The 27,711-nt window shown below is 41.8% G+C and overlaps 4 long non-coding RNA genes across 7 annotated transcripts in view, besides 2 other annotated features; 2 read left to right on the top strand and 2 right to left on the bottom strand.

Annotated features, from left to right (window-relative positions):
• Positions 1 to 27,711, bottom strand: part of LOC124900354 (uncharacterized) — a 165,186-nt gene that overhangs the window by 39,089 nt on the left and 98,386 nt on the right. For 2 of the 3 annotated variants that reach the window (XR_001751516.3, XR_001751518.3), the window contains exon 2: positions 17,689 to 17,751. This is a non-coding gene — a long non-coding RNA (uncharacterized LOC124900354). Of the gene's footprint in view, positions 1 to 12,311; positions 12,373 to 17,688; positions 17,752 to 27,711 lie in introns of those variants that run through there. The other variant, XR_001751517.2, reaches the window with a different exon arrangement.
• Positions 4,220 to 7,002, top strand: LOC107984792 (uncharacterized). Its single transcript, XR_001751522.2, has 2 exons — positions 4,220 to 4,628; positions 6,375 to 7,002. It is a non-coding gene; the product is annotated as an uncharacterized LOC107984792 (long non-coding RNA).
• LOC105370805 (uncharacterized) lies at positions 4,409 to 5,889 on the bottom strand. The gene is made up of 3 exons (XR_001751519.2): positions 5,570 to 5,889; positions 5,139 to 5,401; positions 4,409 to 5,008 (listed from the first exon to the last, which is right to left on the bottom strand). It is a non-coding gene; the product is annotated as an uncharacterized LOC105370805 (long non-coding RNA).
• LOC102724553 (uncharacterized) overlaps positions 7,491 to 27,711 on the top strand; it is a 43,914-nt gene continuing 23,693 nt past the window's right edge. For both annotated transcript variants that reach the window (XR_001751520.2, XR_001751521.2), the window contains exons 1-2: positions 7,491 to 7,752; positions 22,606 to 22,823. This is a non-coding gene — a long non-coding RNA (uncharacterized LOC102724553). The remainder of the gene's footprint in view (positions 7,753 to 22,605; positions 22,824 to 27,711) is intronic.
• Positions 8,581 to 8,730: an enhancer, noted in NCBI's record as "active region_9374". NCBI's record gives its function as "activates an Ori minimal core promoter by ATAC-STARR-seq in GM12878 lymphoblastoid cells {active_cell/tissue: GM12878}" and the evidence as "EXISTENCE:reporter gene assay evidence [ECO:0000049][PMID:35858748]".
• Positions 22,259 to 22,308: an enhancer, noted in NCBI's record as "active region_9373". NCBI's record gives its function as "activates an Ori minimal core promoter by ATAC-STARR-seq in GM12878 lymphoblastoid cells {active_cell/tissue: GM12878}" and the evidence as "EXISTENCE:reporter gene assay evidence [ECO:0000049][PMID:35858748]".

Here is a 27,711-nt window from a genome sequence, read left to right as displayed (position 1 = left end):
CTGGAAGTTTTGTGTCCCAGCCAAGGTCAGTTCAGCATTCTTATTAACATACTGTAGATAATGGATGTCTAAAAGTCTGAAGGCATAAATATTTTAATGTAGCCATACTGTGTCGCTGTTTCAGACCTGCACTTCAATTTTTATTTACTTTTACATGTTGCTGGCATAGGGCCACAAGGTTTTCCATCAACAGAAATGGCTGCTGATTGAAGCAATTTGCTTTTTGCCTTCCTCTGCCAGCGCTGAAGAGAACCTCACTGTCCAAAACAGGCATTTTTAGATCAAGATGGGCCGTTGGATGACACAGTGGGGAATACACTTAGTAGAGCAATGTCATAAATTGGGCTGGTGTCGGCTTCCTGACTTAATGCTTTTCTCTATTTGGTCATGAATTATATATTCTCTTTCAGATTGATCATTTCTCCCACTGATAAAGCGACAGTGTTCTACCAAGTGGATTTGGCCCCTGACCTAAGAAATACACTGATGCAACAAAATTTCTTGATCTGACAATTTGGATGAACTCTGGAGACTGTAAATCCACAAAGCCAGAGAGGAGACAGGCAGGCCTTGCATGATAGAACTCTCCCCTCACTTAGTATGCATCGGCTACCATGATGGCTGAGCAATTCTTTGGCTGCTTTTTACCCAACGTAATTTGCAAATTGATTGTTCTTCCTTGGAAGTCTTTCTTAATTAAATAGTAACTGCAGTTATTACCCAAGGACAAAGGAGATATTTTAGTGCGCTGGCAGAGGATAGCCTTAGCTCAGTGGATTTTCATTTGCTAGAGTCCCACCACAGACTCTTGTGTGCAGAACTCGATCAGATGTTTCCTTCTAAAGGGATGCACTAGCACTCCTTGCCCATAAGGGGTTAGAATCAGGTGAGTCAATGATAACGTCTTGTAACAAAATATGCATAGAATGCTTCTGCATTTCAGTACACTTATTTCAAATATTATCCCATTCCATTTTCACACTAGGTGTGACAAACAACTGCATCTCTGTCCTTTACCCACTTTACCCGCTAGAAGCCTCATCTATTGGATGAGGAAACTGAGGCACAGAGAGTTTAGATGTTTATTCAAGCTCATACAGAAAAGTGAGGATCAGAACTAGAATACAGGTGACCTGCCTCCTTGTTTGTTCCTCATGTTGAGTTAGGCCCAAAGGTGCTCTTTTGACACCATTTGCTAAATACCAACTATGACTGGGCCCTGAGGGGAGAGACTGAACAGGTGTCTTCTATGGCCTTCCAACCAGGGCAGTTGTTCTGAATCATTGACAGGTATCAGAAACACTTGGAAAGTTCATTCAAAAGTGCAGTTACCCGGGCCACAGCCTGGGGTTTTAGTAAGTCTCAGATGTGCCTCAGCATATCCATTCTTTAAAATTATTTAGGTAAATGGGATGGCCAGTCAAGGTAAAGAGTGCAGAACTAGGCTTTCATCTGACCTGGAATTGCACAAGGAAAGCTGAAGCGGAACCAGGGCACCTGACATGTGAACCCAGTCAGCCTGGATATTTGTGGGGAAATAAATGTCTGTACCAGGAGCACCTCAGAACCCATAGAGAGGTAGAGCACAGTTTCTGCCCCAAGAAGACATGCCAGTGCCTCTGGAGCCATGTGGCTCTTGCCTTGACAAAATTCTCCTGGCTTACGCCCTGTCAACCTAATGGCTGGAACAAGAAAACCTGCCTCCTTCATCCACACTGGATCTTTCTCTTCTACTTTCCTTCCTTTCCTTGCTTCCTCCCTTCCTCATACATGCTTAAAATTCCCTTCCTCCATCAAAATCCGTACTCATCCTCCAAGGCCCAGCTCACACGCTACCTTTTTCATGGCATCTTTCTTGATTTTCTTTCTCAGAATTCCTCTCCTTCCTCTGCGTTCTCAGGCACTTCGTACCTCTATGTATTTTTACTTAACCATCATACATGAGAATAGATGTCAGCTTTTGGGATTAATTTCTTTTTCATCTTTTTGTCCCTCCCAGTAGCTAATACAGAGTCTTATGCAGGGGAAGTGACTGGTACTTGTGGGTTGAGTTAAATTTATATTGACTTACTGAACTATTTCTGAGTGACCTCCTCAAAAGACTCTCTTCTGATTAAAAACAGTAATTATTGAATGTATCAGTTCAAACTACAATACATATCTCCACCAATACATTCTATCCTTTGACACTTAAAAATAAACACATTTAACTCATAATAGAAGAGGGAATAATGGCTTGTCTCGAGGCTAAGTCCACATTGGCCGTTGGTAAATTGGCTGTTTGTAGTAGATCAGAGATGTAATTAAATGTTAGACCTATCTGCATGAACAAAGATTGTCTCACCCAGCCATCCTATGACTGCTAGGTCCTGAGAACCTTTCCCAGCCATCGCTACATATTACTCTCCCTGTACCCTGGGGTTGATGCTGGCCCAGCCTTCCCCACATAAGGAGAAGAAACTCATTCCTGATCCATCTACTCCTCTACTTTGCTCCCTTTCCCTCTCTGCAGCCCAACCTGACTGCTGTGTTCTGCCCTGAGTCTGCAGAGGCTGACCCTGGCCAGGAAAGTGGTTGGAAAAGCATTTTTGCAGAGAGGCAGCCTGAAGGTGGTGGCTCTATGTAAGTGTGCACCCTTGGTTGGAAAGGCTGAAGGTCAGGAATGGTATTAGGAGAAAGTTCCCCCTTTCTCCTTTGTCCCTCCTTCCTGCCCCTGGACACAGGCTTGAGGATCTGCATCTGGCTGGCTCACCCTTCCTGCACAACTTTTCTATTCAAGTTTTTCAGGGCAGGGCTTTAAGAAACACTTCAGGTTAATTATAGCCAGGGGTCATTTTCTATACAAGCGGGACAAACTTGATGTGACTACAGGGCTGTCTCCAGGGCTGATTCATTCGACCTAGAAAACTGCCCCTAGGGAAACAGCCTCAGAATCTTGCCTGCAGCTCTGGAAGTGGTAATGGGCCCACCTGTCTCCCTGCCCATCATCTCACATCTGGGGGAATGTCTTGGCTAGCAGCATGGCCCTGAGTGAGGGGTTTAGGTAAACAAGGTGTGACTGGGATTGGAAGAGTCACAAACCTGTTTGTTAGAGCAATGCTGAAGAGTTTCAGGAAAAGAATTTCATCAAGGCTGGCACATCTGTCCTCAGACACTTGAAGGATTCCCTGGAGGAAGGAGGACTGAACTTGCCCTACAAGATCCTGGTTGGTAGAACTGGGCCAAATCATACATCCAATTCCAAAATTGCCTTTCTTCTTTGGAGGCCTGCTGAATGGCCTCCGGTTCTAGATGCATGTAGTTCCCTTTGCTAAGACTCTTTTTCCTTCCCTTCCTGCTACCTGGATAATCTTGACTCATCCTTTGGGCAACAGTTGAAACTTCAGGCCGTCCTTGAAACTTGTAAACTAGGGTTTTTCTACAGTGGTACTACTGACCTTTGGGGCCAGATAATTCTTTCTGGTAGAGGGGGCTGTCCTGTGTATTGTAGGATGTTTAGCAGCATCTCTGTCCTTTACCCACTAGATGCCACGAGCATCTCTTCAGTTGTGACAATAAAAAATGTCTCCAGATACTGCTAAGTGCCCTTTGGTGGCTAAATTTGTCTCCCTCCTCACCCCCTTTCCCACCAGTTGAGAACCATTACTTTAGACTAATGTTCCCCTAACACTCTGCATTTTCCTTTCTGTAACACTATCATATTCTTCATACTTCTAGACTTCTTAATGTGTTTAATGTCCATTTCCTTCCCTTACTGTCAGGTCCCTGATGGCTGAGATGGATTCTAATATTCTTTGCTGCTCCTAACTTTTCATTTAAAAGTCAGTGAAAGAATGAACTGATTTAAATAAGAACTTTGTGGCTTTTAGAGCTGTCCACAGACAGCATAGACTTTTCCAAAATTTCTTCTCACCGGGGGGCTCAAATAAGGCAAAAAGCTACTTGTTGAGAATGTTGTAGAGGAGAGTTAAGCACTGAATGGGTGATCTTGAATGTTCCTTCCAGTTATGAGATTGTGTGGAATTTGGGCTCTCAGCCAACCACCCCATGGGGAACTAATTAAATCAGAAAGAAGAGGCCAGCCGCTCCCTCTATAGTCAGGTGCTAAGTGTTCCCAAGAAGCGGCTGATGTAACTCAGGGAGTGACCTTTAAGTAGGTCAAGAGTCACATGAATATGGAATGCCTTTCCCTTCCCTTTCTCCCGTCCCAAGAGGTCATTTGACCCATATCCTAAGGGGTAGGATCATGCTTGAAAGCTTAGAAAACATCGTTTCTCAGTTCCCACCCTTCACTCTCGCACAGCCTTCTGTGGGCAATGGGGTTGAACAGGGAGGTCTAGCACACTTTCCCGGGTGGTGCGGGAGTTGCCTGGGGCAGCATTCTTCAGACTCTGAAGGTTACAGCCTATGTGATTTATTGTTTTATTTTTCTTTCTTTCTAACTCCTTTTCCAGCGGGGCAAAGAACTGTAAGCAGAGACAAAATGAAAGCCCTCTAGGCCCACAATTGATTCTAACGGCTGTGAGGGAATGAGCTTCAACTACTGTTGATGGGAGGGACTGTGTGCCAGGCACTGTGCTAGGGACTCTCATGCATGATCTCATTCATCTTCTGCATAACCCAATGAGGTAGGTGCAATTACATCTATTTTCCAAAGACACAACTGGAGAGGCCAGCAACTTGCCCATCATCACACAGCCAGGAAGGAGCCTGGGCCTGGGGAACAATGCATCCATAGCCTCTGTGCCCCTTTCATGCCCTGCCACAAGCAGAATGGGAAATGCTTCCAACCAAACTTCTGTTTCAAAGAGTCCCTGTGAACGGGCATAGTCATGATGAAAACTGCCATTCGCACTCAAATTACTGCTGCTTTTGTGACTGCTTCTTATGACCTTGCCATGACTTGACTTGATTATGCTTTTGCAAATCTCTCTTTACATATCTGCAGCTGAGCCTTCTTAAATCATTATACTTCTGAATTAAGATGGTGAATTGAAGTCCATGTTCTCTAGAAACAAAATAAAGCAGAAGAGTAGAGAATTATAAATCTACAAGGACAAAAAAAAGAGGAGTGAGGATCTCAACTAAAATATGGATGATGGAAACTGGATGGACCATGAGTAAATGAGCAGGCATACCAGAGAAACATGAAGCCCAGTGTCTGGGGGTGGGGAGGTGTGGGTGTAGATGGTGGTGAAGCAATGGCAGTGGGAGGTCAACAAAATACAGGACAGTTTTCATTGCAAAACCTCAGAAAGAAGAATGGCTTCGGCCTTTTCCATTTTCCAGTTCAGCTACAGGACCCCTTTGAGGACCTCAGCAGGCCACCTGAGTTAAGTGTACTGTGCAGAATGTGGACCAGAAAGTTTCTGGATTGAGATATGCTAGATACAGCCAAAGCCTGGGGAGACACAATGATAGAAATAAGGGCTTGAATTAAAGTTTGCACGCTGAACAGTAGGATTCCATCATTTTTTTTTTTCTAATTGGTTCCTAGATTTCTGGAACCCAGGTTTCTACCCAGTACCCCAGGTAGGAGATTGGAAGATTCCTCTCAAGGGAAACTTACCTAAAAGAAAAGACCTAAAGATCTGGACATCTGAGGTATCCTCCAACGGAAGATGAAATCTTCATTATCCTATAGCATCACCCAAGTGTCTTCCAATGAAAGATTAGATCTTCATCATCTTAGGCCCTGCTTATCTTCATAGGCCCTGCTCATGCACACAGGACATTCATTCTGTGGTTAAGTGCTTCACTCTAGAAAGCCTTAAACTATACTACTGCTGAAACTGGATCTTTCTTTGTCACCAAACAAGCAACTTGATTGCTATTGGGACATCTTTGCAAGCTTAACATTTGAATTTGATGACATTCTAATTGCAAAAGCCTTAGTCCTTATTCCTTTAGGCCAAAACTTGGCCTCCTCCCTTATAAAGCTGGCCCTCTTCTGCATTTATTCTCCAGCACATCCAGCACCTAGTCTCCCAACCAGGTTTATGTGTTTCTTTTTATTCTGACATAAATGAAAACTTGGATTCACTTTATTGTGGCTGACAGACCTAATTCTCACTGTATGTTGCTTGATTCTAGCTATTTCAGTAGTATTTTTATTGTGTTGGTGTTTTTTATGTTTGGGTTTTATGCCATTTTCCCCCACCTTACTCTTTGAATGCTCTGAGCATGATCCTGGTTTCCTAGGAATACATAACAAGTGTTTTAAAGCTTTTTGTACTCTCGCCAGATACCATTATCTAGAAATATGTTGGCATTTTATATAAACATATGTTTAGATTTCTATAACTAAATGCATCTTTATGTATGACTTATTATTACAACTGAATACATCTATAAATATATAACTTTATTTACAGGTATGATCTACTATCAAGTGTCTACATTTGTATTGGATTGGTATGTGTGCCCAACAAAGAAAGTGTCATTTTTCCTTGGGAATGAAATCACATCATTTGTGAAGACTTAGTAGAGGCTAAATGAGTACAAGCAGCATTTACCTTATTAAACAGATATTTTCAACATTTAAAACAGTCTGACCATCAATGATGATGTTCAAAAACATCTCAAGATGTTTTAGAGCTAAAGCAAATGAGAAAATATAGTAAAGGGCTGATTCCTGTGGATATTCTGCAAAGGAAAGTAACATGGTGGAGTGGAAGTGGGATAAGGTTTGAAGCCAAAAGACCTGGTGGGCTTAAGGTCTCCATTTATTGGTTGTGTGACCTTGGATAAGCCACTTCACCTCCTGGTGAGACTTGGGCAAAATGGAGATCATATTAATCACCTCACAGTTTGTTACGCATTGAGTAAATGCACATGTAAGCATTATTGACTGTAAATGATTATGCATATTTTAATTATGGTATATCCAAGCCTGATTTTTCATCCAGTGCTTACAGTGCCCTGGGCATAATACTCATTCAATAAACATTTGTTTGATGATAGAGTAATAAATGAATATGTGATGCAGAAGTTTTAAAAATATTTTTGCTGCTGTCTGACTCATTTATAGACATTTATAAAATTGAGGATTTGTAAGTTGTCCCTGGACAATCAGATCTCTTGATTCAAAGGTGAAAGATAATCATTCAGGTTTTCAAGTTTTTCCTGATATGAGACATTAACTGGCAGGGCTGATTATGAGAAATTGTCATTATCCTGCTCAAATATAAGATCATAGATTTGGGAAACCTTAGAAATAATTACCTTCTTTTCAAATATGAGGAAACTGAAGCCCAGAGGCTCTAAGAAATCAGGGACTTTATATAATTTTTTCATTTCTCTAGCTCTAGGGTAATTGTAGATAGATATACAACAAGTATGTTTTTAAAAGTATATTTTTCAAGAATTATGCTAAGCACTGGGGAAATAAACATTAACAAGACAAAACCCTCCCCTTTGAGGAACTGATAATCTAGACAGACATGAAAACCAGGAAGTGTGCTATCAGTTATATTAATGTTGTACAGAGTTCTAGTGGCAAGAGGGAACTGCCAAGGGAAATCTGAGAGGAGGTGTTTACCCTGCGTAAACACCTTGCTGTTTAGCTTGGCATCCCTAGAAGCAGACCCTGAGGACAGTGGGAAAATGGATTATTAAGGAAGTGCTCCTGAGAGAAACCAGAAAGGGGGTGTAGGGAGCAAGGGAGGATAAGGAGAAGACTCCAGTAAGGATGAGATTACTCAAGTCCCATGGAAGACAGGTTAGCCTGATCCTGCAGGGGAGCCCTGGAGGGTAAGTTATACCTCACAGTCTGCCCCTGGCTTCCAAGCAAAGCAACTGGCTTCTTATTGTCTTACACTCATCGGCCTTTGACTGAGGGTCTTAGTGGGCAGGGTTGGGAAGCTATGTTGACCCAGACACTTCTGATCTTTGAAATGATATACAAACTGGTTCCGGTTGCCAGAAGGTGGGCTTCTGAAGAGAGTTGCCATGTGGTCCATTGGAAGCAAAAGCACCCAGAAGCCAGACACCAGGTGTACAGAAATAATTATAGAGCTCTGAGAGAATCTGGAAGAAGCACCAGCAGTGCCCACTCCATCTGCGATCTGTAAGGGGAATTTGAGATGGGTGGGAAGGGAATTGCAGGCATCAGTTATATAATAGCGTGAGAACACATCCTGAAGCATGACTACTGAAGGTATGTTTAGGGATGGGAGACTGGTTGGTGTGGCTACACTGCCTTATGTCTGGTAGGAAGTACAAACCTGAGAGAGGAGCTTGCAAAGGCAGGCTGAAGCATCAGATTGTGTGCTTTTATTTTGTTGTTTGTTTGTTTTGTAATTTGGTTCTTTTGATTGCAAGGAAACGAGATCCACTAGAAGGATCTCAAATAACAGATGGCTTATTTTAAAAATATATGTGCTTGGGAACCTAAGAAAGGCCTGGTCCCAGGAAGAGCAGGAAAAATAAGAAATAACAGATCTTGAGGAACTGAAACTTCAGAACAAGCAGGACTCATAGATCTTCACCCTAGTGAAGCCACTGCTATGGCTTCCTGTGTCTGCTCTAATCTGCTCTAACTCCACCTGGAGGGGTTTACTCTTTCCCCTTCTCCTCTGTGTGCTTTTGTCTATCTTGCTTTCTGCTGACTCATGCTTCTGCCTCCTTGTAACTCTTATTGCTGAAGCCCTCTTGGCCTCTTCTATAACCCAAGCCTTTTACTATCTTTAGTTTCACCTTCAGTTCCCCTTTCTACCCACCTCCTTCTTTCTGCATGTCTGACTTCAGATTTCCAGGATGAGGTGATTGGACCAGAAAGCGTTTTCTGATGGGCCACACACTCTGAGGTATAACTTACCCTCCAGGGTTACCCTGCAGGATGAGGCTAATCTGTACCCCATGGAACTTAAGTAGCGTAAGTTGCTGTCCAATGTATGAATGAAATTGTGTTCAGATACACAATGGTGGCCCAATTGGCTGTGCCTGGCAGAAGAAGCAGAGTCCTATAATATAACAGTCAACAGTCGCTAAGATTTGTTTAGCATTGTTCTAGGCATTTCACATATATTATTTCATTTAATCATCATCTCCATTTAGTCAACATTCATTTCTTCACCTCCATATTTATTTAATCATCCCATAAGTTTGTTCTATGATTACCTTCACTTAACAGATGAGGAAACTAAGTCTTAGCGGTTCACAAAACTAGTATGTGGTGAATTTCCTTCTACCAAGGGGTGTGAGTTGGTCAGCTTGGAAGGAGCTGTGGATGTGGCTGTACCCAGTATTGGCATGTCCAGTCAACAGCCTTGCTTCCACATGAAGAAGTTTGGAATATATCATCATTAAGCCATATGGTGGAATGAAATTTAAGGTTTGATCTGGTATCAGGCTTTGGGTAAAGAGTTGATTAAAAACTGTAGTGCTAAAAAAATACCCAACAATATATTTCTCCCCTTTCCTGCATAGTTTCTTCTACCAGCATCAGTTTTGACGTGTTTTGGGTGAGAATCAAGGGTCTTCAACAGCTGATGAAAAAAATCAGGAAGTCCACAAGCAGTGGCAATGGTCTTCATGAACAAAGGCTCTGTTTTTAGAGAAGTCTCTCTGTGTCTCCAGGCTGATGTGCAGGTCTGCCCTGGCCATGAGGGGCAGGTCAGGCTGGATGGATGAAGCTGAAGGAACTGTCGGCTACTCTTTAGGTGAAACAAAAGGTTTAAGGGACTCTGCAGGAACAGTGAGCCTGATTTATCTTGACAAACTGGAAACAAGGAACTGGATGGTTATATTTATTTAGGCTTTTTTTTTTTGGAATAAGATTCAGTACTATTACTTCTTGCTAAGAGGAAGAACCACAGGGAGAGGAGACTATTTTGGCTTAATCTTCCTCATATACAAAGGCTTAAGTTGGCCAGTGTAGCCTGAAGAAGTGCGCAGGAAGCCTGCTGGGGAGGAGGAGAGAAGGTAAACATGGACCCTACACCTGGCCTCTTATTGTGCTTCCCTGTCAGTGACTCAATGCACCATTTTCTTGCCAGAAACAAAAGAGATTCCGTGAGCACCTAGAGTCTAGGACCTGAGCGTGAGATGTGACAAATGTAGTTACATACCATTAGCCTTATTTATTGCTGCATCACAGAGAAAAGGATAAGATACTCTCACTAAAGCGAAGAAGACTTAGACAAACCCATCCCAAGAATAAGAGGAAGAGATTTCCACAGTTCCACACTGGGCTGCAGTCCTCCTGAGATTGTGTGGCAGTGGGCTGTTAGAAAACTGTCCTGGGCTGAAAGACCCAGTTTCTTTCCATCTAGTCTCAGCCTCTCACCACATCTCTGTGCCTGTTTCCTGTATGTAAAATGAGGCTTCTAGACTCAGTCCCTAAGCTCTCTTTCAGTACTTTGTGGAAATACAGAGAGACTTATCTGAAATGGAGGGTCTGGGTAAGCCAAACCCCCAGAAGAAAAATTAGAGATGTATCAGGGGAGGAGGAGAGCACTGTTAAGTCCTAGCTTCAGTTTTATTTCAATTTAGATTTTGGATGGCTATTGCAGAAAGCTTTTAAAATGTGTGTGTGTGTATGTATGTGTGTGCGATTGTGTGTATGCATATTGTGTGTGTGTGTATATATATATATATATAAAATATTCAGCTTATAATTTCCTACTGGAGCTGCCAATGAGCCTGTCTCAGCGTTACACTGAGGCTCCCTTTATAGACCACACTTGTTCCTGGCATTCTTATAGTGCATTCTAGTACATACATACATAGTACATCTAAGTCTGGCTGAAGCACGTGAGGCCACCTCCAAGCTGAGGAGAATTAAAATGACAAACTTATAGAACTTGCAAAGTTCCTTTCAAGGTTCTCATTGTCCCTGTTCTAGAGTCTCTGGCTTCCTCTGGAGATGTAATTGGAAACACAGTAGGCCTCCGTCTTCTGTTCACTGACCTTCTCCATCCAGCCTCCACTGAACCAATGGGCATGTGGTCCCTTCCTCCAGGAGAGAGAAGACAATTCAGACATAAACATAACTTCTTATGTGACCTCCACTTTACTGGGCCCTTTCCTAAGGAATGAATTTTCTTTCCCTTCCTCTCCTCATTATTATGTTGAGCAGAAACATAGCCAGCAAACAAAAGAGCTTATGTGCTGTCTTCAGGCAGGTGAGAGAAAAGAAACTGCATAGATTTGCCTATTCCATGGTAAAACAAGGAGTAAGAAACTCAGGGGAAATAAGGAGAAAGAGCAAAGGAAATAAATAGGTAGTTGAAAACCTGAGACCTACCGGAGAAACATACTTAAGACCTCTGCAGGGACTGGAAGTGGTTCCAGTTAAGTGTGCAGCATCATGAGGCTTCCTTTGGATTTTCATAGAAATATTAGCATCCTTATTGTCAACATTACATGAAATTTGTACATCTAGTTAGTTTTCTTGGTATAGAAACACAAAGAAAGGAAAATAGTGAGGAATATGACTACTGCCTTTTGCTCTGCTCTCCTCTCTGGAGGTCTGCAGTGCTCTTGGAAGATGCAAATATTGATTTACACACCCTTCTCCTCTGCTGCTGTAAGATTTCACTCAACTAGAGAGCAAACTTAAGGTTTCTTGGAAGGGTGAAGTATGCTCATGGAGACTCAAACGCAGCTTACCTAACATACACTTTACTGGTGATCACTAGTATTTCTCAATTTCTTTTTTCTTAAGACTAGGAACATAGAATATGTTGCACAACACCCTCTGTAGACAAGTACCCTTCTTCTGACACAGTGAACATTCAAGCCTCAGGTTGGAATGAAGGGCACAGGATCAGGACAGCCTGGATCGCTGAGTCACCACATGGAGGACACCTCCCTGGGAGTTACTGATACCCACAGAAGACTTGGTGTGAGTGAGATATGTTACTGCAGCATACCTAGCCCATCCTGACTGATTTGAGGACTCAATCTAAGACAGTTTCTCAAATTTATATGCACATCAAGATCACCTTAGGTGTATTTTAAAACCTCATTTACAAAGCTCCTGGTCAGGTAGATCTGGGGTGAGGCTCGGGAATCTGCATTTTGATTGTACATTAAATGACTCACAGAAACTCTGGTCTACCATATCTGTGAATCTACTATTTTCTGAGGACCGCACATGGGGGAAACACTCTTCAAGTGTTGAAAGTTGAAGAGGTTAACCTAGACGGCTTGCTGTTGAAGTTAAGTTGCATTCTTCCTTCACTTGAAAGGCCTCAGTTACTTTGTTAATCACCTGAAGTGTAACAATATAGGACATGGGTTTACCAATGAAAGAATGCTCATGTTAACCAAGATCACAAGGACAATGAGTGAGACCTACCTCATAAGTCTGTTCTGAGGATTCAGGGAAACAATTCCACAGAATATATACATCATTTATCCCACTGTCTGGAACAAGAAAGGTAGTTTCTTTAAAAAGAAAAAAGAAAAGCTAAGTTTCATGTTTCATTTTAGTAAAAACAAACAGTTATGGATTACCTTCTCAGCGCCAGGCACAGTTAGAGACAGGAGAGCCTATACCTGTCTCAGCTGTCACAGAGTAGAGTCCAGCAGGGAGCTGAGCTGTGCATGTGCAGAAATAACCACAGTACAAAGCTCTGCATGATAAGGACTGTGAGAATTGTAAACCCAAAGTACTATGGGAGTTCAGAGAAGGGAGAGATTTCAATTTTCTTTGAATATTGACTTGCTACTGCATAGTAACTGTAATATCTTCTAAGAATGACAGTCAGGCGTTTCTCACAGGGCTAATGAATCACTCCACTTAGCTGTGACAACAGCAAGGCAAAGAAATATCTTCAAGGGCCCAGACGTTATTTTTCCAGCCTTGTCCTGGGGATATAATGCGCTTAGAAGTTATGACAAATTAGCTGTTTGTGGCAAATCTACATAAGCCCTTTTATAAAAATGGAAGTTTGGGCCTGAGTTAATGGGTTTTTATTGACAAGGGAAATAAAGCTGGATAGGGAGGGTAGAGCCTGGCTAGGAGGACTTTGAAAACCAGCAGAAGAGTTTAGATTTGACTACGGAAGCCCAGGGATCAGCAACTGTTCAAAAGGCATGGGCCAAACCTTGTTTAGTCACACGCCATTGCTAAACTTCTGTGTCTAACCATGATTTTATGTACAAAGGCAGAGGGCAAAGTCACTAAAGTATTGCACAGAACAAAGAGAAGGAAGTAAAACTGAAATAATTTTAAAACACAGTGAAACAATAGATGTGAGACGCAATGCTATGCTATTTTTTAACAGTGCTAATTGTTATCTCCCCAATATTGTTTTCTTAGAAGGGAGCATCCCTTAATCTGCCATGTTTATGCTTCTCCATATGCGAGTCACATTTGGAATGGCTGGCCTATGGGTTCTTTCTGTGCCTTTGGGAGGAAGAAGCCATCCCTAAATTCTGGGTGCTTGGGAAGCAGAGCCCTATATTGGCAGATGCATGTGTCCATATGTCCAGATATTCTCTTCTGGTCAAAAAAACATAGCTGCCCTCAAATGACCTCAAATCCTGGGCGTTCTGTGGTCAGGATGCCTGTGCTCAGAGATCTAAGGAAACCAAGTGACCTGGAAGACAAGTGGCAGGACTTTGGGTCTTCCAGGCCCAGAGTGACTATTGTCCTTGTTGCAGTTCCTGGGTCTTTACGCTTATCTCCCCCATTAATGAGACTCAGCCGCCTTCCCAGCACCGGCTTTCTTCTCGCTCTACAAGGAGTCTCCCTCACATTTCATCTGCCTTTCCTCTACTCATTCAGGTTTACTGCCTCTTCATAACTTGGCTTTTCATGGTCCACAATGGCCCCTCACGTCTTGTCTTTTTTTTTTTTTTTTTTTTTTTTTGAGATGGAGTCTCACTGTGTTGCCCAGGCTGGAGTGCAGTGGTGCGATCTTGGCTCACTGCAACATCCACCTCTCAGGTTCAAGCGATTCTCCTGCCTCAGCCTCCTGAGTAGCTGGGACAACAGGCACATGCCACCACACTCGGCTAATTTTTTATATTTTTTAGTAGAGACAGGGTTTCACCATATTGGCCAGGCTGGTCTTGAACTCCTGATCTCATGATCTGCCCACCTCGGCCTCCCAAAGTGCTGGGATTACAAGGGTGAGCCGCTGCGCCCAGCCACATCTTGACTTATAGCATGGCTTTTCCTGCCAGCTTATATCTGTTTTATTTATTTGTATTTATTTTCAATTTCAGTGCCCCAAAGAGAAAATCTGATTGAACCAGGCTGTTGCATTTTGTACCAAGTCATTTTTTCTCGGTAGCTGTGGATCACTGGGGAGTTCATGGATTGACTCCCATGGGTCATGTGCCACAGATGCCAGCTGTGGGCCCTGTGAGAGGGGAGACGAGGCTCAGTCCCATGTGGTTACCACAAGGTGTGCTCCAGCAGGGCTGTGGGCAGGGCAGACACCTGCCCCCAAAATGTGAGTGCACTGAAGATGAGAGGCACATTTTGAGGGGTTCTCTCACTAATACGTTGCCCCAGCCTCTCTTCCAGGCAGTAGGGTTGGGGATCAAGGCTCCAAGTCCTAGGGGTGGTGGCTCCAGGAGGCTCTGGCCTATTTTCTGCCCATCCTGCAGGTCAGTAGTCATAGCAGATGCTTGTGCCAGATTTGCAACGACCCCTCCTTACTGGAGCAGGGCACGGCGGGTAAATTTAAATAAATTTGTCATGAAAATGACATAACGAAAGAGAAGAGAGGTCAAGGGTTTTCTCTCACAGGGCTCCCTCTGTTGCTCCACCTCTAAGGTGCGAGTGCTGTAGGTGACGGTTGGGCCAAAGTGGCTGCTCCTCATGCTTGACGAAGCAAGGACTTTGTAGCAGGCAGCGTACTTGGCAGCAAGGCCCTAACCCCAATTCTGAGTGACTTAATTCTGGCTGTTTGAAAAGATATGATCAAACACTAGCAGGAAGCACTGAGACTTTCTGGGAAGCTTCAGAAGCTGTGTCTCCAGTTGTAATCGAATTGGTCAGAGAAGACTCTTCTCTCACTGCAAGCGGGCATCAGGGCATGGCTTGCTCCAGGGCACCACAGTCCTCAACTCTGATGCTAAAACTGCAGCATAGAAATAGCTGTTGCCACCCTTCGTTAAAACTGCCTTGCCAAGGCCCAGGCTTTTTCCAATTTAAAATTTAGGGTGGTATTGTCAGATGGTGGGTCCTAGATTACATGCCCAGGCTGTAGTTGCAAGCAAGACTAGCAATTCAACCCTCTGGCACTTTCAGCAATGGACTCTGCTTCTTAAGATGGAGGATTCCTCAACTTTGGAAATGGGGTTCAGATACTGGACAGTAAAGTATATGAGAAGGGTTATCTCCTGAAACCTGTTTGTTATTGAAGCTGGGGAGCAATGTGAGGAAAGCAATGTTTCAGGGAAGGTGATTTGACCAGAGTTTGCAGGATAAATTTTTTAAGAGAGACTCAAATGAGAGGGGCTGCCTAAGGATGGTAGGAATGTTTTTCTGAGCTTACCAACTTACAGTAGGAGATCTGATTACCTTATCGTTATGTCTCACTAAAAGAAGAAAACTGTAGGTCTGACACAGATAAAATTTCTAAGTAGTTTCCTTTTTTTTTCTTTTTTGGAGTAAGCAGAGATAGACCAATAAGCACATGGACAGATTCACACCCAGACAGATGCATCTAAAGTGCAGGAGGTGGTTTTGTTCAGTAGTGAAAGAGAACTTTGGCTCTGGAGCTTGAGTTTGAAACCCATTGTACTATATTACATGCTAATTACGAAAACTTAGGCAGGTGAATTAACCTCTAAGCCTCAAATTTGTTACCTATAAAATGGGAGTCATAACACCTATTGCATAGCATTACAGTGGGCATTAAATGCATAAAAAACTCTTAGTAGAGTGGCTGGTCCAAAGCAGATTGCCAGTATATGCCAGGTATTAATAGCAATGTTCTATATGAGATCGTAAGGCTGGACTATTTGGTGGCCAACGAAGTGAGGGAGGGAGAGTGAATGTGAGAGCAGTGGGAAAGACAGAACAGCAAGGCCTCTGTGACAGATGGGGCAAAGGAGACAGGGGAGAATGAAGGGTCAAAGAAAGTTCCATGATTTATTGATAAACCACCTTTTTCATTTGGTTCTTGGCATTAGGTTACTTTTATTTGAGCTGGGCATTTTTTAGATAAAAGGAAGAGAATAACTGAGATTTTTGATCTGATGCAATGAAATTTCTGAGAAGTAAAAGAATGACTGGGTGTATCCACATAGGGAAGCTGGAGAAAAGAGCAGCTCGTCCTCCTCCTCCTCCTCCTCTTCCCCGTCTTCCTCCTTCTCCTTCTTTTTCTCCCTGCCATCTTCCTCCCTGTTCTCTTCTTTATAAAAAGACATAGTTGCAAACATAAAGGAAAATTTTACACTGGACTTTACTAGTTAGATAGCCTGATCCTAAGTCAGATCTCACTGCTTTAAACCCATTTTAGAAGGAGATAGGATATAAATTGCCAATAAATAAATAATTGAGTCAATTCATCCTGCCTTAGGGATTGCTTCCTTCACCAGCAAAAGGAGATCAATAAGAACTGGCCCTAACTCTAAAATTTTACCTGAGTGGCCAGTCCCTGGATTGAAAGTCTCTACTGTGTCATTCTCAAGGAGCTTCAGAATCCTACACATTTTAGCATACTATTGCCAGGAGAGGCAATGGTTGCTAAACTCACATACTAACAGCAGTAGATATGATTTGCCATTAGCATTTGGTCACACCTAGCAGAAGGGTAGCCAGAGAATAAAAGATAGAATTTATAGATAATCTTAAGAAGTCTCAAATTATTTAATGCCTTGCTACTCACAGTGTAGTACAGGAACCAGAAGTATCGGCAAGCCCTGGGAACTTGATAGAAATGCAGAGGCTCAGGCCCCACTACATCAGACCTATTAAATCAGAATCTGCATTTCAGCAAGATCCCCCAGCAATTTGGGTATCATTATATTTGAGAAGCATTGGCTAAAGGCAGGCGACGAAGAGCGAGATGAGTTTTATGGAAGCAGGGAGATAAGATCCTGAGAAGGTAGAATAATAACAAATAATAATTTTCCTTAGAGCTGGTTTGGGAATGGTGTTTAGAATACTCATGACAAACTCCCTTGCAGAGTAAAGGCAGTGATAATCTTCACAAAGTTCTCTGAAGCCCGTAAGCATCATGCCAGCTCAGTTCCAGGTGCAGAGCCGCCTGTGGATGACAGGCTTACTGAGCTGAGCGTTGCGGAGCACTCGCCCTCTTCTTTAAATTGGAAACAGATTGCACTGCTGTAGGCACTGTCATTCAGAAGGTGGTAACTGCCTGTTTCATCCCCAAAGTCATCCAGGGTCAAACTGGACTCTAACAACCTCAGTCACTCTGGCTGGGATTTCAGGTCCTGATGTGGAGTAACCTTCTAACCAAGACCCTTTCTCCATTAAAAAAAAAAAAAAAAAAAAAAATCTCCATGTCAGTGATTCTCAAAGCATGATCCCCAGACCAGTGGCCTAGAGATCACCTGGGAACTTGTCAGAACTATAAAAATCTCAGGTCCTACCCCAGACCTATTGAATCAGAAATTCTGAGGCCAAGCCCAGCAATCTGTATTTAAGCAAGCCTTCCAGGAGGTTCTGATACCAGCTAAAATTTCAGAATCAGCATGTCTTATATTCATTTAAAAAAATGTAAATGGAAATGAAACAAATAGTTTTTGGCTTACCTTTCTAGGTGACAGTAATGTAGAGTTTTCTTCTTTGACAGCCATTGTATTTCTGTCCTATCACTAATAAGGAAAAAACAGTCAATTCTCTATATTTTACATTTATTTATTTATTTATTTATTTATTTATTTACCAGAGATGGGGTCATCCAGGCTGGGGTGCAGTGGCACCTCAGCTCACTGCAACCTCTGCCTCCTGGGCTTAAGCGATTCTCTCACCTCAACCTTCCAAGTAGCTGGGACTACAGGTGCACACCACCATGCCCGTCTGATTTTTGTATTTATTTGTAAAGATGGGGTTTCGCCATGTTGCCCAGGCTGGTCTTGAACTCCTGGACTCAAATCATCCACCCGCCTTGACCTCTCAAAGTGCTGGGATTACAGGCATGAGCCACTGCACCTGGCCATTTCTCTATTTTAGAGCAATTTTGCAAGTAGCGTTCTCTTTTCCTATGGCACATACAACTGCCTTTGTGAAGAACACAGAGCAGGTGCTCAATCCCTAGTCTCCATCATGGCGGTCAAGGAAACTGTCCCCATACACTCAGCTGTTGGATCCAAAAGAGTCAGGGCGATGGGGGTTTTGCATTTTTCAGGTTATATCCAATGCAGAAATTCTGTAAGATCACACCAAAAAGGCCCATTTCCCCATCAAGGGAACTATTTTCTGTCATGCCCTCTAAAGTACTGGAGTACTATTGGAGGCCTGTTGGAGTGACTGGAGATGTGGAAGATCTTGGCCTACTTTGTGCTTATTTGTAAAGTTCCTTTTTATTATGGCTCAGTGGAGCTAGAGTGTCTCCAGCCCCTTCCAAAGAAGAGACTGAGTACCTGAGCCTGCCTTCTGGTTTGCCTTTGCTTCACATTTGAGGGGCTCCACAAGGCCCTTGGGGTTGGGGTTGGAGCCTGGGCTCTACTTTAAGAGGCAGTACTGTCGATTCTTTGAAGACATTAGTGTGCCTTTGCTGCTGCCATTATAGTCACCTTAATGTCCTGCCTTATCACCAGTCCCCCCCAAAACTTGCTGTCAATAGTCTACTGTCATAAGTGCATATTTGACCTGGTGTGGAAAGCAGGAAGGAGTCAAGTGGGTAGGAAGCAGGGCAGGTTGGTAAGCAGCCCTCCCCATGCTGTGGGGCCGTGTGGCTTTTCATTCTAGCACATGCCTGAAAGGCAGTCTTGGAGCAGCTGCCTCATGTTGGAGGAAAAACACTGAAGTGGGATGAGAAGATGTGAGTTCCGGTCCCAGATCTGATTTGTTTGGCACATAAGTTTGGGTGAGTCACTGAAGCTCTTGAATCTCATTTTTCTCCTCGACTAAATGGAAATACTAATCCCTGCCCTCCCTGTTTCACAGAGGTGTTGCAGGCCTTCCGTGAGGTCTGCTGCTGAAAGTAACCAGCATCTGGGAAGGGCTGGAAGTGGTGAGGGGCATCATGCTTCCTCCATTTGTGTGGTCCCCACCCTCTACCCCTAGGAGAGAACTCTGCACCCCCTCTTGGGTGGGAACACAGAAAATGTTTCTTGTTTCAGGGGGACCTCACAAGATTCTTGCAACAGGGCAGTGATTCTTTAGCAATGTCTTTGTATGCCTGGACTCAGAGCCACCCAGAGGAGCCACAGGAGGGTCCCTCACCCTCTGCGCCCACGAGACTCTGCTACCAGTGCCCTCTTCCACCCAAAGCACTAAGTCAATGAAGACAGTCTCTGTTCTCAGGCACATATCTGCCCTCCATGAGGCTGAATAGAGCCCATTCTCCCTCTTCCATACCTTTCATCTCAAAGGATTCCTGAGCACACAATCCACTTTATAGCCTGGTCCTCTACCATTAGATAATAAAGGGTCTTTCACTGATCTGTGCTGTTGAAATGCCACCACCTCCACTATGCAGCTGCTCTGGGCTGTACAGAAAGCATCTCTCAATCCTAGGTCATTTAGAATGTCATAGCCTGAGGAGAATTCAGAAGGACATCGAGGTCTACAAGTTATAGAAAAAGTGTGGACTTTTGCAAAATGCACACACAAACCAAAACCAACTTTCCAACCAATCCTCAGAAAACCAGACTGAATCCATTAAAATGATGTTGGTTTGTTTCGCAACGAAGAACCAGCTTTGACCCTGTCCATTTTTTGTCCTACTCAAAGTGGTCTCTTTACCATAAACAAATAGGCCTCTTAAAGTGACAGTTGTATAAATAAAACTTGAGAGTGGTAGGATAAACTTTACGTGGTCCTGTTGCCAAATAACTATGGATATTAGTATGTTTTGCCTAATTCAGATCAATGAAGGCCTCGCTATGTGCGAGCTGGCTAGCAGCTGGGAGGCAAACATGAGTTGTAGTTTCTGACCTCAGTGTCTGGTGGCACTACTGGGTGTGGAGACGCTGTACAAACACATTTGTATGTTCACATTTCCTATGTAAAAGAAAAGGGCTTGGGGTAGTGTCAGACCCCTGACTCTTCTTCTTCATAACAGACAGGGCTCTCTACAGAGCACCCTTCTAGAGCAGCTTTAGCAACCAAGGGACAGACACCTCAGTCTGTTTTAAGTTTTCTCCTTCCTATTGAAAGGAAGTCCAGAACAAATTCAGGGAGGTTTTCAATAATTACTCATCAACAATCTCATAGTCACAATACTAAAAAAGACTGCTGACATTTTGGTTTATTTTCTAGTACTAGCTACATCTGCACATAACTTTTATTAAGTTTTCTTTAAAAGGATGATTCAAATTTTTGGTCGGTGTGGTTTAAATTTTATTTTTTTTAACTGCTCAAATACATGACCCATAACAGAGGAAATTTGAAGAGTGACTGTTCCACTGATCTACCTAGGTGGGTCTAATATAATTCTTAGAATTCCTCACCACTTCACCTTTTTCAAGTTCGCTGTTTTTTTGTGGGTTTTAGCCCTCTTTAAGTCAATATGACTGTTTTACAGAATCCTTTAGGATCATAATGGGGAAAAGAGGAGAAAAATTGTGGTGGCTTAAAATGTATTCACATTTGTAGTTTCAGATAACTATATAAAAGTCAATCATCAATAATTTGTTAAACACCAATTTGTGCCGGAGTCGCTCTGGAAACTTGCCAGAAACATGGGGGTGAGTATATGAGCCACATAAGCAAAAATCCTCAGTGAGCTCTGGTGAGTGAGATGAGATAATCATGGGAACAATTTGAAAATACTCCAATATGATATGTCATTAAGTACTCAATTTTCTGCTATGGACGTTGGGGAGAAGGGGATTCAGATAGAAAGAGAAAAATATGGGCCAGGCATAGTGGCTCATGCCTGTAATCCCAGCACTTTGGGAGGGTGAGGTGGGAGGATTGCTTGAGCTCAGGAGTTTGAGACGAGCCTGGGCAACATGGTGAAACCTCGTATCTGCAAAACAAAACAAAACAAAACAAAACAAAAAAACAATAAATTAGCCAGGCATGGTGGTGTATCCCTGTAGTCCTAACTACTTGGGTGGCTGAGGTGGGAAGATTGCTTGAGCCTGGGAGGTGGTGACTGCAGTGAGCCGAGATTGTGTCACTGCACACCAGCCTGGGCAACAGAGCTAGACCCTGTCTCAGGAAAAAAGAAAAGAAAGAAAGAAAGGAAGGAAGGAAGAAAGAGAGAGAGAAAGAAAAAAAGAAAGAAAGAGAAAGAAAGGAAGGAAGGAAGGAAAAATATGGACTTATTGCCATTCACAAAAGTCTTTGTGGAAGAAGAGGGGAAACCTAAGCCTTGTTATTTGGTAGTTGGGGTGCAGCCAGGGGAAATGCATTCGTTCAGACAGTGGATGGCAAAGCAGAGTGAGAGTCCATTGCTCTTATATGTTGGTGAAATAGGGTGAGAAATCTCTTGGACCAATGGTCTTTAGACATTCAGTTGACCATCAGGACTGTCCATCAGAGGCTGAATTTTCATTCACTAGACAGGTGAACCTCGGCTTCTCAGCTCTAACTTTTCCTCAGTTGCTCTCCCCTGCACCACCACCCCCAGGTCAATCTTCCTGGGCAGACAGCTCCTCCACAGACAGATGGTTAAACTGCAGGTAACACCTGCAGTGGTGTGGAATTGCACATGGGATATTTCTAAATCATCTAACACAGGTATTCTCACACTTTTATGTATAGCACAGTCACCTGGAGAACTTGTGACATCACATTGCTGGGGCCCACCTACAGAGTTTCCAATTCAATAGGTCTGGGGCCCAGGGCAAGGCCAGGTAAATCATCAGCAGGACCAGTCCTGGATGCTGCTGCTGATGTTGGTCTAGGGACCACACTTTGAGAACCACAGATCTAGGCCATTACGTCAGTTTACAAAAGAGTAACTGAGGCCCAGAGAGATCTCAGAGTTTAAAGACTGCATTAGAAGGCAATTGCCAACCACCCCTTCACCGCTTACCTTGTGCAAAGCCTAGCTTAATCCTCAATTCCTGCAGGGCAAGTCTGACTTTGGTTAGATTTTAATTGTCTGAGAGCTGAACTTCTCTCATCTCAACGAAAGTTCTTGCATATTTAGAAACAGGTCTGCCCAAAGGTAGGAGGATAGACCAACTATCTTTGAGGCTTTTAAGGCTATGACAACATTACATTAGTAAAATAATTTCTTTTACAAATTAAATGTGAATGTGTTAGGTCCATAATCTTACAACCTGTAGGTGGCAGTGCCTTCCTTCTCTATACACAGCTATATGCCTGGTTTCATTTCCTGAGTAGCTGAGAAGCCTGCAATGCATACAGTGTTAGATGCTGGGCCATCTACTCCTTGCCCAAGAAAGCCCCTCCAGGGACAGCTGAATCAGATAACTGGAGTTTGCATTCTGAGAACTATTGTTCTGAATTAACATGTGAGGTTTTAAAATTTTTTCTTATTTTCTTGTTTAACTTATTACATTTTTATCCTCTGCATGGGGTTTTAGACTTAACATCTCTGGAAAGCCAGAAATCAGAGATACAGAGAAGTATTGAAATGCTGAAATGCTATGAATTTACTATAAGAGAACATTCTTCACTGAAGAGATCTCTAGCTGCCAAAACACCCTTTCATGCGTGAAATACCGGGGCAAAGAGGAAGGAAAAGAGAAGAGTATGACTCTAGGAACCATGTTGCAGAAATGCCAAAGGGTGGGACAAACAAGTAAGTGATTGTTCATCAGCTACTGTCAATTATTAAACATGAATTCCTCATTTCCATATGACCCACGACTTGCAGACGACCTGCTGGTACATGAGTTCCATTTTGTCAGTAGTAATTGACATAAAGATACAAAATTAACTCCACTTTTAATCCTAAAATGAAATCATATTGTATGAGTATGAGACATGCACTTGCAAACATCCAGCACTGTCTCCCCTATTCCTAAAGACCCCAGGGCCAGTTCCTTTCCCTAACTTCACTTTTCCTTTAATTGCCACCCCCTCTTTTCAGCTGCTGCCTTAGCAGAGAACACTCTGATCTAATGACTTTTGACCTCCTTTCTGTCTCCACAGAGGCAACCATGATTTCCTGATGTTGTATTCTCTCTTTTAAGCCATGCAAAGATCAATTAATTGCATCTCAGTTAATCTTCCTTCATTGTTCTAACATTCAAATTGAATTGGTTGTCTCCGAGTTTCCAATAGAATTGAGTTTAAACTCTCCTTGGGCATTAAAGTCTGCAGGATGCATTTTCCTCTTATTTATTCAGCCTCATCTGCCATGTCTTACCCTCCTTCCCTGCATTTACTCTGAACCTCACATCATTTCCAAAATGATTGTATGCTTATGCCTTTGTACATTTTGTTCCTTCTGAAAAATTTCTATTCATTTTTGAGAATTAAATGTCATTTTAGGGGAGCATTTCCAGATTTCCACAAACAGCACCTTCCTCATCCTTTAAGACAGCTTTCAGCACATTATAGTGTAATTTGCAGGTGTGCTTGTCTGTTCTGACTCCCAGCCCCTGCCTCACTTTGTTTCACCACCTACTGCAATAGGTCGGTGTTATGATGGTAGCAACTGTTCGATTCTTCTTTATATCCGTAAGACCCAGCATAGAACTGGACAGATAGTGCATGCTAAACATGGATTTTAAATCAATTAATGCTATGCAAGGTACTTTCTTTTGCTTACTTAGGAAAGCCCCTCTTTTCTCAATTTCAACCTTCCCCTTCTGTCTATTATTTCATTTTGTGAGCCCAACACATGGCTTGAGTTCTACAAGTGATAGGTTTGTACCAAGGAAAAGAAAGACAGAAATGTTGAAGCAAAACTGTGAATAGTGATGATTCTTCTTCTACTACTGCTTCTAAAATGTCATTCTCATCAGCTTCTAGAAATCCTTGAAAGTTACCTCAACTTCCCTTTAAGGTATTCACAAATTTTCATCTACATTTTTGTCTCTCCTAGATGAATTTACCTTTCCTCAAGCATCAGAATACAAGAAAATTAAAAATAATTTATTTTCTTACTTTTCTTATTTCTTTCTTACTGTTGTGTGTCATATTTTATTACCAGTATTGTAACAAAGCAGAGTAAAAAATGTTGTGTTCCATGTATTTTCACTGCAATCATATGCTATTTCTGATACTTTGTGGGTTAGATGGGGTATTGGGGTCAAGCCTGTGGTCAGCATCAGCATTACAAACACTGTTTTTAGAGAAGAATGAGTTTCAAATATCATCAATTGACCTAAAAATGAACTTTTTGAACATGTCTGATTTTTTAATGTGAGAAATTTGTTTCTGCATATATTTGGTGTCAATTAGTAAGAGTGGTCAACTCTTTCATTATGTCATATGTACAGGGCAGACAATGGGACTGAAGACATGTATATCTTGGAATGTGCTGGAAAATCTCTTATGATCCCCGGGAACATATATCCTTGATAATCCCCAGTAACATGTCTTTGTGTTTCCTGTGATACGAGGGGTGAAGCGAGAGAAAACCGGGGTTGACAGGATGTGGTCTTTTAGAGAAGGGCTGTTCAGCTCCATGCCAAAGGTGTTGGGAAGGTTTCATAATGTGGGTAAGGCTTGATCATCCAACTTAGGGAATTACTAACAATGACTGACAGAGCCTGATAAGCCCTCTCACTGTGGTCAATGCATTTACAGGTGTGAAAAGAATTGATGTAATAGTATTGAAAAAAATCTTTAAAAGAAAAACCCATTGCTGCCTTATTTTGCATGCAAGCAGAGATGTTGATGATATGCCTGATTGCTTGGGAACTAAGGAGATTAATTTTCCCTAAAAATTCCAGGTAGAGACTATAAGGAAGCAGTGAACAGCATGAGGCAGCCCACAGAACTTGGTAGATAGGCATTCAGACTAGACAGAGACGGAGAGCAGATCCCAACAGTAACTCAGGGAGAGACCCAAGACCCGTGGACATGACTCCACCTAGTTAGATCCTAGTTAATTTGAGGTGGGAATTAAATTAAACAGCACAAACCCCTTGAGAATGCAGGTGGACAGGTTTTATCCACAGCTGCTGCAGCCAGGTGCTATGCTTGATAGTATGACCCAAGAAATCAGCATAAAGAACTTCAGAATGTGCAGGAAGAGCTTTCCAGATAGCACTCATATTAGAAATTTTTTTTTATCTAAAAGCTAAGATAATTTATATCAGCTTCCCAACATAGCAATGCAGAAGAGAAGGCATTTTATGGCAATTATTTTACAGAGATATTTTTATGTTGGAATAAAACAAACTTGGAGAATTTCAGCTTTCCATGATTTGTAAAGTAACAAATAGTTACCAAAATACCTAGAGCAAGAGAAACACTTAAAAAAATGGAATTGGCCCAAATGACCATCAATCAATGAGAGGATAAAGAAAATGTAGTATATACATATATGCCATGGAATACTACTCAGCCATAAAAAGGAACAGAATAATGGCATTCACAGCAATCTGGATGGAACTGGAGACTATCATTCTAAGTGAAGTAACTAAGGAATGAAAAATAAAGCATCGTATGTTCTCATTCATATGTGGGAGAACATGTATGAGAACTCATATAAAGACGCAAAGCCATAAGAATGATACATTGGACTTTGGGGACTCAGGGAAAAAGATGGGGGATGGCGAGGGATAAAAGATACACATTGGATACAATGTATACTGCTCGGGTGATGGGTGTACCAAAATCTCAGAAATCACCACTGAAGAACTTTTTCATATAACCAAACACTATCTGTTCCCCAAAAACCTATTGAAATAAAAAAAAAAAAAACAAATAAAACACACACACACACACACACACACACACACACACACAAACCCCACATTCTTTGTAGGCTGACCTCTAAGCATTGGTAACTATATTGGTAACAAATATTTGTGATTTGTATATATAATCAGTACATATATAATTATATGTATGATATATATACACATCATTATATATAAATATGTAATATTAATAAAAGCATATCCATATTTATATATTTTACTATAACGCATATAAAATAGAATATATATATAATTTATATGAACAGTTTAAAGAACAATACTGAAATAAACAGCAGCGTAGTCACCAACAAGCTTAAGAAATACGCCTGATGCCCCTGTGTTCTTGTACTGCTCTAATCTCTCTCCCTGTTCCGTAGAGCTAACCGCTGTCTTGAATTTTGTGTTTATTATTATTCTCTGGCTTTTCTTTACATTTATATCCCAAATAGTTTAGCTTTGTGCTTTTAACAAATGGAATTTATTATGAATTATGTTATGTATATTATGTTATGTATATGTATATGTATATTGTTAAAGCAAACTAAAGGACTCCATACTTCTATATTTGAGTCCTTGTGGATGAACTGTAACCTAGCTTAACAGTCAGGCAAAATTGAAAACCTAATTTAGGACCATTTGCCGGTAACAATAACTGAGTCTTGGCTAATTCCAGAGGCCATACTTCAACCACTCAGACTGCTAACTGTTGGAACTGTGTTCAAAGAAGGCAAACGCCAACCTGTAACCAATCCAGCTGTTTCTGTACCTCGCTGCCAATTTCTGTACATCGTTTTCCTTTCTTTGTATATAACTCTTCCACCACGTGGCTGCGCTGGAGCCTCTGTGAATCTGCTGTGATTCTGGGGGCGGCCCAACTGGCGAATTCTTAATTGCTCAATTAAACTCCTTTAAATATAATTTGGTTGAAGTTTTTCTTTTATCAATATACACATATACCTATAACAATATACATATTCATATATATGTTGTTTATTTGTGTATATATATAATTACATATCATATATATACTATATATTTATGCTATATATATACATATTCATATATATATGTGTGTGTTCCTGGAACTTTCCCTCTTCATCTTTGTGCTTTGAGAACTCTTTTTTACAGCTACATGGTATTTCATTATAAGAATATACCACAATTTATTTATACAGGCTCTTGTCGATGGACATTTAGCCTCTTCCCCCATACAACCATTCCAGAAATGCTGGTATGAACATTCAGGTCCATGTTTCTTGGAGCATACGAGCAAGTGTCTCCCAAGATCAGAATGGTCATGTAGTAGGAAACGGACATCTTCAGTTTGACTAGATAATGACAAAGTGTTTCCCAGAGTGGTTATACCAATTTACACTTCCACCAGAGTGTGTAGGATTTCTGATTGCTTCACACCATCTTCAACACTGGCTGTTGTCAGACTTCTACATTTTTGCCAATTGAGTGGAAGCAAGATAGTTGTGGTTTTAATTTGTACTCTCCCTTTTGATGAGGTTAAACATATTTTCATACATTTCTTGGCCCTAAGTATTTCTTCTTCCGTAAAATGCCTGTTCATATGCCCAAGTTTTATGGGATATCTTATTAATTTTAGAGATTATTTAAATATCTTCTATATTAATGCTTTGTCAATTATAATATGTAGCAAATGTCTTCTGCTAGTTGTGAGTTAAATTTTAATTTTTAATAGAGTTTAAAATCACATGCATATACAGAGATAGCTTTGTCTGCATAGAAAAAGTAAATTCCTATGGCCGCATGACAAAGCTATTTTATGTGCTAGTGTCTGGC

This window comes from Homo sapiens, chromosome 15, assembly GCF_000001405.40.
Source record: "Homo sapiens chromosome 15, GRCh38.p14 Primary Assembly".
In the NCBI taxonomy this organism is placed as follows: Eukaryota; Metazoa; Chordata; class Mammalia; order Primates; family Hominidae; genus Homo; species Homo sapiens.
Note: the sequence above shows the minus strand (reverse complement) of the source record. Positions and strands in the feature narration are given on the sequence as shown.